Source organism: Homo sapiens, chromosome 10, assembly GCF_000001405.40.
Source record: "Homo sapiens chromosome 10, GRCh38.p14 Primary Assembly".
NCBI classification, from domain to species: Eukaryota; Metazoa; Chordata; class Mammalia; order Primates; family Hominidae; genus Homo; species Homo sapiens.
In genome coordinates, this window is record NC_000010.11 from 72,064,481 (window position 1) to 72,078,476 (window position 13,996).

Here is a 13,996-nt window from a genome sequence, read left to right on the forward strand (position 1 = left end):
CCTAGGGACCCATGAGAGGAGTAACAGGATTCAGAAGAGGAGGTGGGGTGAACACACAGACACCCAAGTATGAGAGAGCCCAGGGGAACGTAATGCTAGAGGGAATGTTAGAGAGAACTCCCAGGCCTGAAAATACAGCCACGCGCTACACAACAACACTTCAGTCAACAATGGACGGTGGCCCCATAAGATTACAACACTATTTTTACTGTACCTTTTCTATGCTTAGTTATGTTTATTTTTTTATTTTTTATTTATTTATTTTTTTGAGACGGAGTCTTGCTCTGTCACCCAGGCTGGAGTGCATTGGCGCGATCTCGGCTCACTGCAAGCTCTGCCTCCCGGGTTCACGCCATTCTCCTGCCTCAGCCTCCCGAGCAGCTGGGACTACAGGCGCCCGCCACCACGCCTGGCTAATTTTTTGTATTTTTAGTAGAGACGGGGTTTCACCCTGTTAGCCAGGATGGTCTTGATCTCCTGACCTCATAATCTGCCCGCCTCAGCCCCGCAAAGTGCTGGGATTACAGGCATGAGCCACCGCGCCCAGCCTTATTTTATTTTTTGAGATAAATAAAATAAATTTTTGCTCTCGTCGCCCAGGCTGGAGTGCAACGGCACGATCTTGGCTCACTGCAACCTCTGCCTCCCGGGTTCAAGTGATTCTCCTGCCTCAGCCTCCCAAGTAGCTGAGATTACAGGCACCTGCCACCATGCCTGGCTAATTTTTGTATTTTTAGTAGAGACAGGATTTCACCATGTTGGTCAGGCTGGTCTCAAACTCCTGACCTCAGGTGATCCACCCACCTCGGCCTCCCAAAGTGCTGGGATTACAGGCGTGAGCCACCGCGCCCGGTCTATGTTTAGCTATGTTTAGATGCACAAATGCTTACCATTGTGTTACAACTGCCTGCAGTATTCAGCACATAACATGCTGCACAGGTTGTAACCTGGGAGCAATGGGCCAGGTGCACAGGAGGCCGCACCACCAAGGTCTGTGTAAGTACTCCTATGATGCTTGCACAGTGACAAAATCACCTAATGATGCATTTCTCAGAATGTATCCCCCTCGTCAAGTGACGCATGACTGTAACCGGCAGCCAGCCTCTAACTTGTCTGCGACCTTGGGAAGTCCCCACCTCTCCAAGCTGGAAGCCTGCCTGGTTGTAAAATGAGGACAGTTCCCGGCCTCCTGCCCAAGAAAGTACAGAATGGATGGAGTGGCCTTCAAAGGCCCAGAAAGTCAAAGTGCTGGAGTGATGCTGGTCGCAGGAGGGCTGGGCAGTCAGAGTGGTGAAACAGATCACAATACCACACATTTGCAGAGGGATTTGTGAATTACACGGTGCTCTGCACAGATTTTCTTGGCTCATCCTCACAACAGGCTCCAAGATAGGTATTGTTATTTCCTGACGCAGATGAAGAAGCAGAACTCAGAAAGATGTGGTCACTTGCCGGGGGTCCCTGACTAGCGTATGGTGGGGCCCGGGCTGAAGCTTTGGGCCCTGACTGCCGATCCCCCACCAAGATGGGGAGAAGCATCCAGTGAGGAACACCAGGGCTTCCCCAGCTCCAGCCACACAGGTCAGGTGAGCCTGGGGACCTCCATTTTCCGAGATGACTCTGGTTTGAAAGCTCTGGTTTCAGGTATATTCAGCTGAGAAATTTCATCACATCTCTAAGGCTGATGACAACGTATGTAATCACTTATTGGTGGCACAAAATTTAAGATGTGCCTAAAAGAAGAATCACCGAGAAGCAAATGCATCTTCACCTCTAAGACCCTCACTTGTACAGCCCCTTCCCAAGCCCTCTGAGGGGCCCCAGAAAGTTTACATTCGTTATTTTTCATATTCTTTCTTTCCTTCTTTTTTTTTTTTAATAGGTTCTTGCTCTGTTGCTCAGGCTGGAGTGCGCTGGCACAATCTCAGCTCACTGTAGCCTTGACTTCCTAGGCTCAAGCAATCCTCCCACCTCAGCCTCTCAAGTGGCAGGGACCACAAATGCATGCCACCATGCCTGGCTATTTTTTTTTTTTTTTTTCACAGAGAGGAGGTCTCCCTGTATTGTTTGGGCTGGTCGCCAACTCCTGGGTCACATGATCCTCCCACCTTGGCCTCCCAAAGTGCTGGGATTTCTTTTTTAACTCTTTCTTAAAGAAGACCTCCAAAAGTATATAAGCTTCAGGACCCACAAAATCTGGATCCGCCTGGGAGCCTGCCAAGGAAGGGAGCTGAAAGTGTTGGCTTCCCTGGGCCTTAAGGGATGAAGCCCTAAGGGAGTGCAGGAAGTGGGCAAGCTGGGAAAGTGCTGGGCCTGGGGACGTAGCCAAGAAAGAGCCACTCTGACTTCCCAAGAGAGCCTGGAACTTCGGGTAGAGCCCACACGGGTGAGGCAGGGGCCTGGGAGGGGGGCTGCACTCACTCTCCCTCCAGAAGCAGAAGCACCACTCAGCAGTAGAGACCCGGCCATCCTTGTAGGTGTCACAGGAGTTGAAGAAGGGACGGATGCAGACCTCGTACTTGTCCAGGTTGATGGCGGCCAGCTCCGTCTGGTCCAGGAAGAGGTCAGCACTGGTGTCCAGCTTGGAGAACATCCAGCCAATGGAGTCCTTGCAGCTGGCCCCCAGGCTCTTGTCCAGCCCTGGGAAAAGATCAGGTTCAGGCACGCTTCATCTGGCTATTCAGCCGTTTCTCCAGCCCTCCATCTCTCCGCCTCGCCATCAGCCCCAGCCCTCTATTCTGGGTCTGGGCAGCTTGGAATCTAACCATGGGATTGAGAAACTCGAGAACGGCGAAAGGTCCTTCCTTCCACCTCCACATAGGACTATGCCTGAACCATTCAAAACCCGTTCTGAAAGCCCTGCAGGGAAAAGAATTCCTGCTTTCCCTGGGCTACCCATGTCAGGGTTTAAGCTCCCTCCACCCATGTTAAGTTCTTCCTACTAGCTAACTGGTATCCCTCCTGCTCTGGTGGAAGCCGACTTCTTTGGGGTGAAGGTTCTTTTGGGGCCCAGATTGTAGGGCCCAGAGTCTGGCAGGAAGGAACAAGGGCAGACTGGCCCAGCATACACCTGTGTCCTCAGCCCCTTCCCTATTTCCCTCCCTCCTCCAGGCAGAGCAGCAAGCTTCCTACCGCTGGCCGGGCCGGCTACACTGCTGGCTGAGCCATTCTGCTTGGAGTTCTCATGAAGGAGCTGGAACCAGTCCCGCAGCCGATCTCCCAGGTCAGCCAGGTCCTGACCGGTGCAAGTCTCTGCAGAACAGAGAGAAGGCATGGAGGGCGAATGTGCAGTGGAGCAGCAGGCTCGATCTCAGTCTGGGATCCTGCCCTACAGGCCAGGAGGCTGGGCAGGGGTCCGGGAGGCAGCAGCAGAAGGGAAGGTGGAAATCGGGGGCTTCCTCTCGAGTCCTCTCCCATTTCCCACCACCCACTCCTTCCTGGCATGAAAAACACACAGCCCAGGTTCCTTGTGGCTGAGTCCCTCCCTCTGCCCACCTTCCAGGCACCCAGGGGAGAAACGAGGGCTGAGCCCACGCCTCCTGCTCTGTGTTAATCTGGGCCTCTGACCTCACAGCTCCCTCAAGCTTTCTGCATTTTTGCCACTTCCCTCTTGCTCTGCACACCTCTTCTACCACCCTAGAGCCCTGAAGGAGGTGCCAGGTGGCCCTTCAGCACCCCTAGCCTGGTGGCCCAGCACTGTCCTCACCTGGTTTGCCATCGGCGGTGGAGGTGGCAGCCTGCTCCGTGGGGCAGGGGCAGGGGCCCTCGCATCGCACCGCCAGCTGCTTGCTGCTCAGGCACGCCTGTTGCTCCAGCTTACACTGCACATGGGGAAAGGTGGAACAGGGGACTGAGGGCTTACCCCAGGGGTCCCCACAGCTGGGGACACCCTCAAGCCTCTCATGGCAGCCACATCTGCCTCCCCCCATGGAGTGCCCATGAACAGCCTGAAGGGTCCTCTTGGTTCCTCTGCAGACTGAGGTGCACGGTGGAGAGAAGCAGGGCCCGGGAAGCAGGGCTCAGAGCTGGTCCTAGCCATGCAGGCTCCCATGAGCCTGCTCGGCCCTCTCTAAGGATTTGTCCCTCCCAGGACACCTGTCTCCCCTCCCCTGCCCCTGTCACCCCTCCCCTGCCCCTGTCGCCCTTCCCCTGTGTTAGCTGTCTGTTGCCCCCCTGGCTCTCATGGCCTGTTCCTTGGTCCCTCTGTAATCAGCCATCAGCCCTTCCCTCAATGATCTCCCCCCAGTCACCCCAGTGGACTTTTCTCAGTTCTCCTGATAGGACACAGCACCGCCTATGGAGCATCTAACAATTCCTCGGCCTTCGCTAAGAACTGCTTCTGCCACAGCTGCCTGCTAAAGCCAGGTTCTGACCAGGGCCTTTTCTCCTGGTCATATCTCTTTCTTCTCATGGGGCGGCTGCTAATGGGAAGCGGGTCATCACAGCGCTCGACAACATTATCTCACTTGGGAGGCTTGGGTTTCTCCTGCTCAGCAGAGAACAGCAAGGCGCACAGAGGCCCAGTGACTTGCCCAAGGCCATGAGCCGGGATGAAAGCCAGACTTCCTGCTGACCTCCACCTCCCTAAAGGACAGCGTGACCCCTGGACCGGACCGCACTGCAGCGTCCTGCCCAGACCTCGCCCTGGCCTTGGGTTGTGGGACACTAGCTCCTCTTCTTCTCCTCCTCCTCTCTGCCAGCTCTGCCAGCTCCCCTGCACCCCTCTCACCTCCTAAATGCAGCCTCTGCCCTGGCCTCTTGCTCATTCTCTCTCTCCTCCCTTTCTTCTCCCTGGATGACCTCATCCCCACAGCAATGTCAATCATCACCCACAGCGGGTGACTGAAATCTGCATCTCACTCCAAGAAGGCCCCTCAGCCCTGGCACCCACCCCAAGCCAGCTGTCAGTGCCCTCCCAAACCAAGCAATTCCCGACTCCTTGTTGCCAGTAAAAACATTCATTATCAGCACCTGCATTTCTATGTTACTTTTTTTTTTTTTTTTTTGGAGACAAGGTCTCACTCTGTCACCCAGGCTGGAGTGCAGTGGTACAATCATGGCTCACTACAGCCTCGAACTCCTGGCATCCCCCTCAGCCTCTCAGATAGCTGGAATCACAGGCACACGCCACTGCACCCAGCTAATTTTTGTATTTTTTGTAGAGACAGGGTCTCACTATGTTACCCAGGCTGGTCTCAAACTCCCGGATTCAAGCAATCCACCCGTCTCGGCCTCTCAAAGTGCTGGGATTGCAGGCGTGAGCCACCGTGACCAGCCTAAAATTTTTTAAATGCTTTCTCAAATATTGTCTCCTGAAATCCTCATAAAAATCCACATAAGGTGCAAATTCATTCTCCCAATCGGTTCCTTCTTCCATCACCTTCTTATGGAGGATTATTTCCTGCTGCCCCAGAAGGCCCCTGCTCACTGGTGAACACTGGCGCCTCCCTGTGGAAATCCTCCTTTCTTCCCCCACTAACAATTGGATGCCAGAGCTCCTTCTTCCACAGCCCTCCACACTTGGCTGAGGTCTTCCCTCAGTTCCTTTGACTTGCAGTTACCTGACCATAGTGTCTCTTCCAGGCCCCACTCCCCACCTGCACCTGTCCGAGGTCAGGGACAGACAGGGTCTGGCTCCAACTCTCAGGTAGTTCCAGCCAGGGCTGCAGGTGGCCCCAGTATGGCTGGCTGCATTGAACACACTGACCTTGCCATCTGGCCCCACCTCAGTCCTGGAAACCCCTCCGGAGGCCCCAGCTGGGTCATCCTTTCTGCTTCCTGTGGCCTCAGGTGACTCCACCCCCACCCTACCTGGGGCCTGGGCTCCTCACCACAGAGCTGTAAGTGTGGCCATCTGAGCCGCAGACAGAGGCAAGCTGGGCCATGTGGCAGGGCTTGCAGATGGAGTCTTTGTTTCCATGGAGTTTCACGGTCGGCTGCTTGATCCTACAGGAGAGGGTGGGGGGCACACCAGGGTGGAAGTGACAATGAGGAAGGAGCAGGGGAAGGGAGGGCTGAGCAGACCTGTTCCAACAGGAAGGCAGCAGCAATCTTCAGCAGATCAGCCCCTTCCTGCCCCTGCCCACCCTCCCCACACTGCTGCCAGACCCTCCTCCAGCTCAGAAGGGTGGAACCAACTGAGCAGGGCATAAATTCCCCCAGCTTCTCTTCTTCTAGGAGTCACTGAGTCCCATGGGGCCTTCAGGTAGCAACTCCAGGTCTGAAGGCCAGAGGTAAAAGGGGGTCACACTTCACTTAGGGGGTCAGACCAAATCTGAGGTTGCAAACTGATGACCTCTGGGCCATACTTGGCCACCAAGTGTTTTTTTTTTTAATTGAGTTATTTATGCACTAACATTTACCAAATGGGAGAGTTCACATAAATACCTGGATTCTTGGCCTGTCTTTGAAAAATGGAAGCATGGGAGTCCTGGACCTGCATTCCTACATAGCTGTAATAGACCAGGGCCAAGAAGCAGCTGCCTGCTTTCCACCACACCTGTGCTCCACAGAGTGGCCCGTGACCAAGCACTCTTCATGCATTACATTACCGGCCATGCCCCTGCAGCCTTCTAAGACTGCAACCCCATCTTTCATCTTCTATGATTCAGGAAAGAAGGGAGGGAACTGGAACCTTTTCCAGGGTCTTGGAGCCAGGCAGAGCCTTGTCCTTGGGCTGGAGCTAAGACTTCCTTTTTTTGTTTGTTTTGTTGTGTTTTTTTTTTTTGAGACGGAGTCTCACTCTGTCACCCAGGCTGGAGTGCAGTGGCGTGATCTCGGCTCACTGCAACCTCCGCCTCCCAGGTTCAAGCAATTCTCCTGTCTCAGCCACACGAGTATCTGGGACTACAGGCACAAGCGACCATGCCCAGCTAATTTTGTATTTTCAGTAGAGATGGGGTTTCACCACATTGGTCAGGCTGGTCTCAAACTCCTGACCTTAGGTGATCCACCCGCCTTGGCTTCCCAAAGTGCTGGGATTACAGGCAGGAGCCACTGCACCCAGCTGGAGCTAAGGCTTCCTTAAATGTCCCTCACTCCTTTCTCCTCTGCAAGCTACAACCTCTCACAAGCTACCACCTTAAATATTTCATGAAGTCACTGCATGTCAGAGCTGAAAGGAACCTCAAATTATATGGTCTAACCTATTTGTCTTAGAGATACTACATCAAGGCCCAAAAAGGAGATGTGACTTTCCCTGCATCCCACAGGGTTTGGTAATTGTTCTCATATGGTGTGGCTTTCTCCTTGCTCATCTCTTAAATGACTTACTTTAGGTGAAGGCAGCCGCCATGTTGTGAGGACACTCAAGCATCCCTATGGAGGGGTCCACATGATCAGGAACTGAGGCCTCCCACCAAGAGCATAAGAGTGAGCTTAGAAGTGGATCCTCCAGCCCGACAAGCTTTCAGATGAAACAGCCCCAGCCAGCACCTTGACTATAACCTCAAGACAGACCCAGAGCCAGAACCATCTAAGAGAACCACTTCTGGATTCCAACCCTCAGAAATGATGTCAGATAATACATATTTGCTGTTTTAAGCACTAAGTTTTACAATTTATTTAACAGCAGTAGATGGCTAATTCATAAGGAGAGGGTCAGTTGAGCCCTTGCTCTTTGAACACACCCCCTCCAGGGCTCCCACCTCCCCAAACCTCTCACCTGTGCTCCAGCTTCTTGCGACTGATGCACATGGCCCGCTGGTAGCCCTGGGCAATGCACACCTTGTGGCGGCTGCACTTCACCTTCTGGCAGGGGTCCTTGGTGGTATCCAGGGCTGCAGGGGCACAGAGTCAGGACACAGGTCACCTGGGAGAACCCAGGAACCTCCAGCCCCACTTCTGAGCTGGGAGGCCTCTCCCTCCAGCAGCCCTTGATAACCAGAGCTCCTGAGCTCAGGAGTCCCATCCCCACCGGGGCCTGGCTGCTCAAGGAGCCCCCAAGCGGGCTAAGGGCTTGCCCTCTGGTCTCAAGTCTTCACACGTGTCAGTCACCTTCCCCCGCCGGGAGAGTCATGTTACCTTCATCTCCTTGCTGATTGTCCTCCCAGCTCTTGATATAGTCATCCTAGAGGACAGAGAGGGACAAGGGAGAAGGGAAAGGCTAAGATCCATATCCCAGAGGTTCAACTGCGGGGTCGAGGAGAGGCCTGGGCCAGCGATGTCATGTGCCAATGGCCGTCATCCTGGTGGCTGACCCCTGTCCACCCAGGCCCTGCCAGCTGCCTCCCCCACACCTCTATCCCTATAAACCCATGTCCAGAATCCTTTCCAGCCTCTCCCGTGAGCTCCTGATTGCTCCCATGCCACACTGGAGGCTGGCAGGGAAGGCAAGTCAGAATGAGGGTGTGGAGGGACACAGGAGGGGAGGGGGTGTGCTCTGCAGAGACCACACAGAGTGGGGTCCTGGGCAGTACTCACCTCCACTTCCTGGAGATCAGGGAACAGCAGCAGGCCATGGAAAACGGAGCAGGAAGAGAAAGGGAGAAAGATGGGGATATCAGTGTGAGGCCCTCTGGTGTTCCTGGGGTCCCCTGCCTCATCATGTGGCCGAGCAATGGCCTTCGATGGCTGTGTTCCTCTGACCCCCAGGAACCCCAATAAGAGGCCAGTATTCTTACGTCTTCATCACAGAGCTCAAGACTGGCCTTAGGAGTAGCAGGGGCCCGTGGCTTTGAGAGGGTGGGGCACCCCCACTCCGTTCCCAGTCCAGCCCCAGCCCCACCACCAGGACAGATGTCCGAGGTGCCCATGCTGCGTAGGAACAGAGCTTCTCATGCCTATGCCCTGGGTGTCTCAGAAACTGCCTGAGAAACGGTGCACTGTCTGTCTCCTGCCAAGGCCCCTTCCTTGTCAGTCCCCACTCCTGACCTCTGCCCACCATGTGAGTGAGGTGGGAGGAAGACCCCCTCACCCAGTCTGCAAAGGGATGCTTTTTGCTCAAGGTCTGACATCTCTGCAGAGCTCAGCTCATACACGGAGTGAGGGAGGAGGCCATGCCTGTGATGAGGCTTGCCCAGTTATCACGATTCAGCTTCAAACCCTCAGAGGCAGAGGACCCAGAAAGGGTCCTACGAGGTCACCTGGTCCAGCCCCCCCTTTGTGCCGGAGAAAGCCCAGAGACAGATGACCTGACCCAGGTCCTCCCGTCACACAACCCAGGTCTCCCGATGCCCAGCACAGACCACTTTTCTTGCTACAACACACTCTCTGAGGCCTAAGGCACAAGGGAGACCTTCTCACCCTGCTCCAGCTGCAGGGGCCTCTCAGGCCCGTGGACCGCAGAGTGGCCAGAGGCAGAGAGCCTCCCACCTGACCCAGCTCCCTGGCAAGAACACTCAACTTATCTGGCTTCCTCCCTTTCCCCTACGGGGCAGAGACAGTTGCTAAAAAACACCTAACAGTCCCAGGGCACTCCTGGTGGAAACTCTGCCAGGCAGGCAAGGAGGGGGCTTCCCAGGCCTGCAGGCTGGCAGTGACAAGGACCAGCTGCCCACTTCCTCTGCGTGGGGCTCCAGGAGGGGCTCTGGGAGCTGGGGGGAGAGGGGCATGAGAAGCTACGCGCAGCTGCCCCCTTCATCCTGAGTTCTGCCATAGCCCAAAGGAGCAGAGATGTGTAGGGGTGAGCAGAGCTGTCAGGTCTGGGGGAAAAGGGCGGTGGGGCCATGGCACCAAACGGCACCCACATGCGTGCAGCAGTGGGCACACAGAAGGGTGCCTAAAGGGCTTTGAAATCCAAGGCCTTCAGGCTTCTGAAGCCTCCCCTGGAAGCTGGCAAGCGTCAGAGCAGGCAGGGTGAGGCCTCCTGGACAAAGGCCGAAGGGGCCAGACCCGAGCAAGCAGTTGGCATCACCACCGAGAAAGATGCGGTGTGCACAGGCATAGACCTGAGTGCATGCTTCTGCATGTGTGTGTGCATTTATGCAGACCCAGGTGCACCCATGCACACTCACAGGTCTGTATTATGTAGCATGTGTGTGCAGGCATGTTTGTGTGTATGCACATCCTCATTTATGCACAGGTGGACATATGCACACACATGTGTAGTGACAGAAGGAAAACAAGGACACTAACAAGGACATTGTTCACCCAGTGCCAGATGGTTTTTATCCAGAAACGAGGTAACAAAACCCACTCTGTGAGCAGCCTCCAGTTTCACACTCGAGGCTCTCCCTCAGGCTGGCCTTCCTGCCTCTTCCGCAGTGAGAGAAGGAGGCAGCAGGAGTCGGGAAGGATGGGGAGGGCGGGAGGACCGCAGACTGCTCCCGTGAGAGCCCACGGCGGCTCTCTCCCTCTCTCTCCTTCTTCCTCTTGCTTTCACGTGCCTCCCCGTGTGTTCCTGTGTCCCTCTCTCCTCTGTCTCTCATTGAGCCTCTTCCTCATCCCTCTGCTCGGCCCACACCTGGCCCACACGTACCTGTCCTAGCAGCCAAGAGTCCCGCAGCCCCTGGGCCCAGGAGCAGACAGAGGAAGGCTGCAGGGGTGCTTCCTGGGAGCCTGTGGGGCACCTGGCCCAGCACTCACCCCATCCCTCAGGCTTGACCTGAGCGCTCCTGAGCCCCCAGGCAAGCCTCTGGGGAGGCTGCAGGCACCACTTCCCTCGTTTGCTAAAACCAACGAAGCCTTCTCCAGGAGCTCCTCAGGGTTCAGGGGTCCTCTGCTGGGGGTCCACCCCACAGGAGATGGAGGGAGGCCAAGAGAGGTGCAGCTGCTGAGGCCATGATGACAAGGGTTGGGGCAAAAGTGGCAACTGGTCTCCATCAGCTGGGGTCTTCCCGTCTGTACCCATCATCCCCTGGGGCAGGGGTGGGGACAAGGCTGTGCAGGTGATGGGAAATGGCTGGGTTCTGGGAGGGAGGTATGAGCCCTCAACCATACCTGCCCTCAACCAACAAGATCTGTGTGCCCATAACCCACCTGCCCCAGAGTGGAAGTAGGGAAGGTGCCTCCAGCCCCTGGGTGTCATCTGAGGCCCCTGGCACCGGCTCACTCCCACCTTCTGGCCCAACCCTGCTGCCTTAACCTCCAACCAGGCCGTGAGTGGAATTTTTGGGACTCAGTACACAGTGGATTCTCAAAGGTCAAGACCAAGAATTTATGATTAGAAATTTGGGGGAAAGTGGGGATGGCGTGGGAGTTCTAAGAAAGGGGCTTTCCCCAGCTGCTCCACCATCCCCCACTCCCTTCCTGACTCAGCTGGCAGGGAGGGAGCCCCTTCTGTGCAAAGCACTGCCCCCGGTTCCAGCCTCGACTTTTTGCCTCTGCTGTGGCCAGGCTGGGCAGGCAGGATGGAGGGGCCCCAGTGGATCTGGATTCCAGGACCCTCACTCCCAGGAAAGCAAAGGCAGCCAGCCAGAGAGGGACGAGGAGAGCAGGGCCCTGGGGTCCTGCAGATCCCCAGGCTTCCCCCGACCAGTGCACCTTGGGCAAGCACCCGACCTCGAGGGGCTCAGTGCCTATCTCCCAGGACTACTCAGAGATTAAAGCAGATGGCACCTGCGGGGTGCCTGGGGTCCAGGAAGCACTTAACAAATCAAAGCTGCTATGATGGAGAAGAGACCCCCGGACTGCAAGTGCGGAAAATGAGGGACAGAGATGCCACATGAGGAACCCCAAAAAAGTGGAGAGGGAGAGGCCACCATGGGGACAGCAGAGACCAGAAGGGATACGAGGAGAGTCCCCTAGGAGGTCTTGTGGGGAGGAATGACGAGGAAGTCCTCTGGGCAGCTGGGGAGTGGCCACTCTGAGGGTAAAACTCAAGGACACACTGAGGGGTCCCTGAGGCCAGGTGTGGGCTGGCGCCACCTTTAAGCTGAAAAAAAGGTGTTTGTTGGCAAGTGCAAATAATGCCTTTCAGTGCAGTGTTGGGTGTCTATTTATGGCACCCCAGTGGGCTCATTAGCAGTTGTGAGAAATAGTCTGATCAGGGCACCTGGGGCTTCTCAGGAAACAGAGGCCCCGTTCTACACCTGAGAGTGGTGGCAGGTGGCTCTGCTGCCGACCTCACCTGGAAAATGGGGATTTGGAAGAGCTCGTGGCTTGTATTGCATGGTGCTTATATATGCTTATCTATCTACCTATCTATATGAGTAAAGCTTTTAATTTAAAAAAATGTTTTAATAGAGATGGGGTCTTGCCATGTTGCCCAGGCTGGTCTTGAACTCCTGGGCTCAGGCAGTCCTCCTGCCTTAGACTCCTACAGTGCTGAGATTATAGGCGTGAGCCACTGCACCCAGCCTGCATGGTGCTTTTAGAGTAAGTTCTCTCCAGGCATTTGGATGGGTCTGCCTTTTATCCTCACAGTCCTGTGAAGTAGTCAGAGCCAATAGGATCAACACCAGAAGAAAGGAGAAAACGAAGGCTCAGAGAGGCAGAGCAACTGGCCAGAGATGGCAAGACAAAAGAGGAGCTGAGTCAGGGTTCCCCATCGCCCCCTCCCACCCCACAAGTTAGAGTCTCTCTCCTTAAGAGAGGACCAGCATCTGCACTGAGGAGGAGGAGGCAGAGAGAGGACATAGAAGGGGCACTGGACCAGGAGTCCACTTTCAGCCTGGCCCACGGTGTGTCCTCAAAGAAGTCACTTCCTCGTTGTTGAGGACCTCAGTGGTGACTGCACCTTAGAATCAGCCGAGGAGCTCTTTATTTTTATTTATTTATTGAGACAGAGTCTTGCTCTGTCACCCAGGCAGGAGTGCAGTGGTGCAATCATAGCTCACTGTAGCCCCGAACTCCCAGGCTCAAGCGATCCTCCCACCTCAGCCTTCCAAGTACCTGGGAGCACAGGCATGTGCCACCATGCCTGTCTAATTTTTATTGTGGTGGTTTTTTTCATAGAGATAGGGTCTTGATATGCTGCCCAGGCTGATCTCGAACTCCTGGGCTCAAGTGATCCTCCTCCCTCAGCTCCCCAAAGCACTGGGGTTACAGGCATGAGCCACTGTGCCCTTCCCCAAGGAGCTTTTTAAACCTTCCAGCACGCACATGCTACCTGAGACCCCTGAAATCCCATGGGTGGTACCCAGCTCGGGCCACGCTTCTGTGCTGGCTCTAGGCAGGCAGCTTAGAGACCACTGGGCCAGCCATCAGGCCTCAGGTCCCTCCCGCTCTGTGCTTATGTCTAATATTTTGCTTATGTTCTTGGGTGTCTTCACCCCAAACACGGGGCCTCTGGGATGAAAAAGAACAGCCATTCTTCCTCCCTCCGAGGGTGCCTCACACAAAGCGATACAAGGTGTGCTGAGGAGCAGGCCGGCCCTGGGAGAACCCAGGCTCCTGCTTCCAATTCCAGGCCCGTTCCTGGAGCACGCTTACCGTGCCACCCTCACCAACCCAAAGACTGTCCTGCCCCTTCCCCTCCCGAATCCCTCTCGCTTGCCCTCCCTGCCCTACACCCACCGGCCAGGACCACCCCAACCCGAAAAACTGCAGCGCCTCCTGAGGGTCTCCCTCCTCCCACTGTCTTCCACACGGCTGCGGCCACCCGGATCCTTCCAAAACACAATTCTGACCCGGTCTCTCTCTCTTTGAAACTGAATATACAGTTTGATCTCATTTTGGGGAAAAAGAAAGTGAGTAGGTGAAAAGGATTTATACCAAAATGGTAACAGTCATTTCCACTGCTGGGTAGGAATACAGAGAATTCTGACATCTTTCTGCTTTTCTCCAACTTTCCCCAAAATTTCTGCAATGAACATATATTACTTTGTAATAAAGAGAAAAAACATAATCATAATCATAATAAATATAAATAATAGGCCAGGCGCGGTGGCTCACACCTGTAATCCCAGCACTTTGGGAGGCCAAGGCGGGCGGATCACGAGGTCAGGAGATCGAGCACCCTGGATAACACGGTAAAACCCCATCTCTACTAAAAATACAAAAATAGCCGTGTGTGATGGCGGGCGCCTGTAGTCCCAGCTACTCGGGAGGCTGAGACAGGAGAATGGCGTGAACCCGGTAGGCAGAGCTTGTAGTGAGCCAAGATCACGCCACTGCA

At 55.1% G+C, this 13,996-nt stretch overlaps 1 protein-coding gene across 2 annotated transcripts in view, besides 2 other annotated features; it reads right to left on the bottom strand.

Moving 5' to 3' along the window:
• Positions 1–13,996, bottom strand: part of SPOCK2 (SPARC (osteonectin), cwcv and kazal like domains proteoglycan 2) — a 29,999-nt gene that overhangs the window by 5,447 nt on the left and 10,556 nt on the right. For both annotated transcript variants that reach the window (NM_014767.2, NM_001244950.2), the window contains 7 exons: positions 8,422–8,430; positions 8,023–8,068; positions 7,664–7,778; positions 5,832–5,946; positions 3,707–3,821; positions 3,133–3,252; positions 2,422–2,640 (listed from right to left, as the gene is read on the bottom strand). In NM_014767.2, the coding sequence (NP_055582.1) occupies positions 2,422–2,640; positions 3,133–3,252; positions 3,707–3,821; positions 5,832–5,946; positions 7,664–7,778; positions 8,023–8,068; positions 8,422–8,430 (739 nt within the window). The remainder of the gene's footprint in view (positions 1–2,421; positions 2,641–3,132; positions 3,253–3,706; positions 3,822–5,831; positions 5,947–7,663; positions 7,779–8,022; positions 8,069–8,421; positions 8,431–13,996) is intronic.
• Positions 4,601–5,108: an enhancer, noted in NCBI's record as "H3K27ac-H3K4me1 hESC enhancer chr10:73828839-73829346 (GRCh37/hg19 assembly coordinates)". NCBI's record gives its function as "activates a minimal SCP1, AML or CMV promoter by ChIP-STARR-seq in primed H9 embryonic stem cells {active_cell/tissue: H9 hESC(primed)}" and the evidence as "EXISTENCE:reporter gene assay evidence [ECO:0000049][PMID:30033119]".
• Positions 5,289–5,790: an enhancer, noted in NCBI's record as "H3K4me1 hESC enhancer chr10:73829527-73830028 (GRCh37/hg19 assembly coordinates)". NCBI's record gives its function as "activates a minimal SCP1, AML or CMV promoter by ChIP-STARR-seq in naive H9 embryonic stem cells {active_cell/tissue: H9 hESC(naive)}" and the evidence as "EXISTENCE:reporter gene assay evidence [ECO:0000049][PMID:30033119]".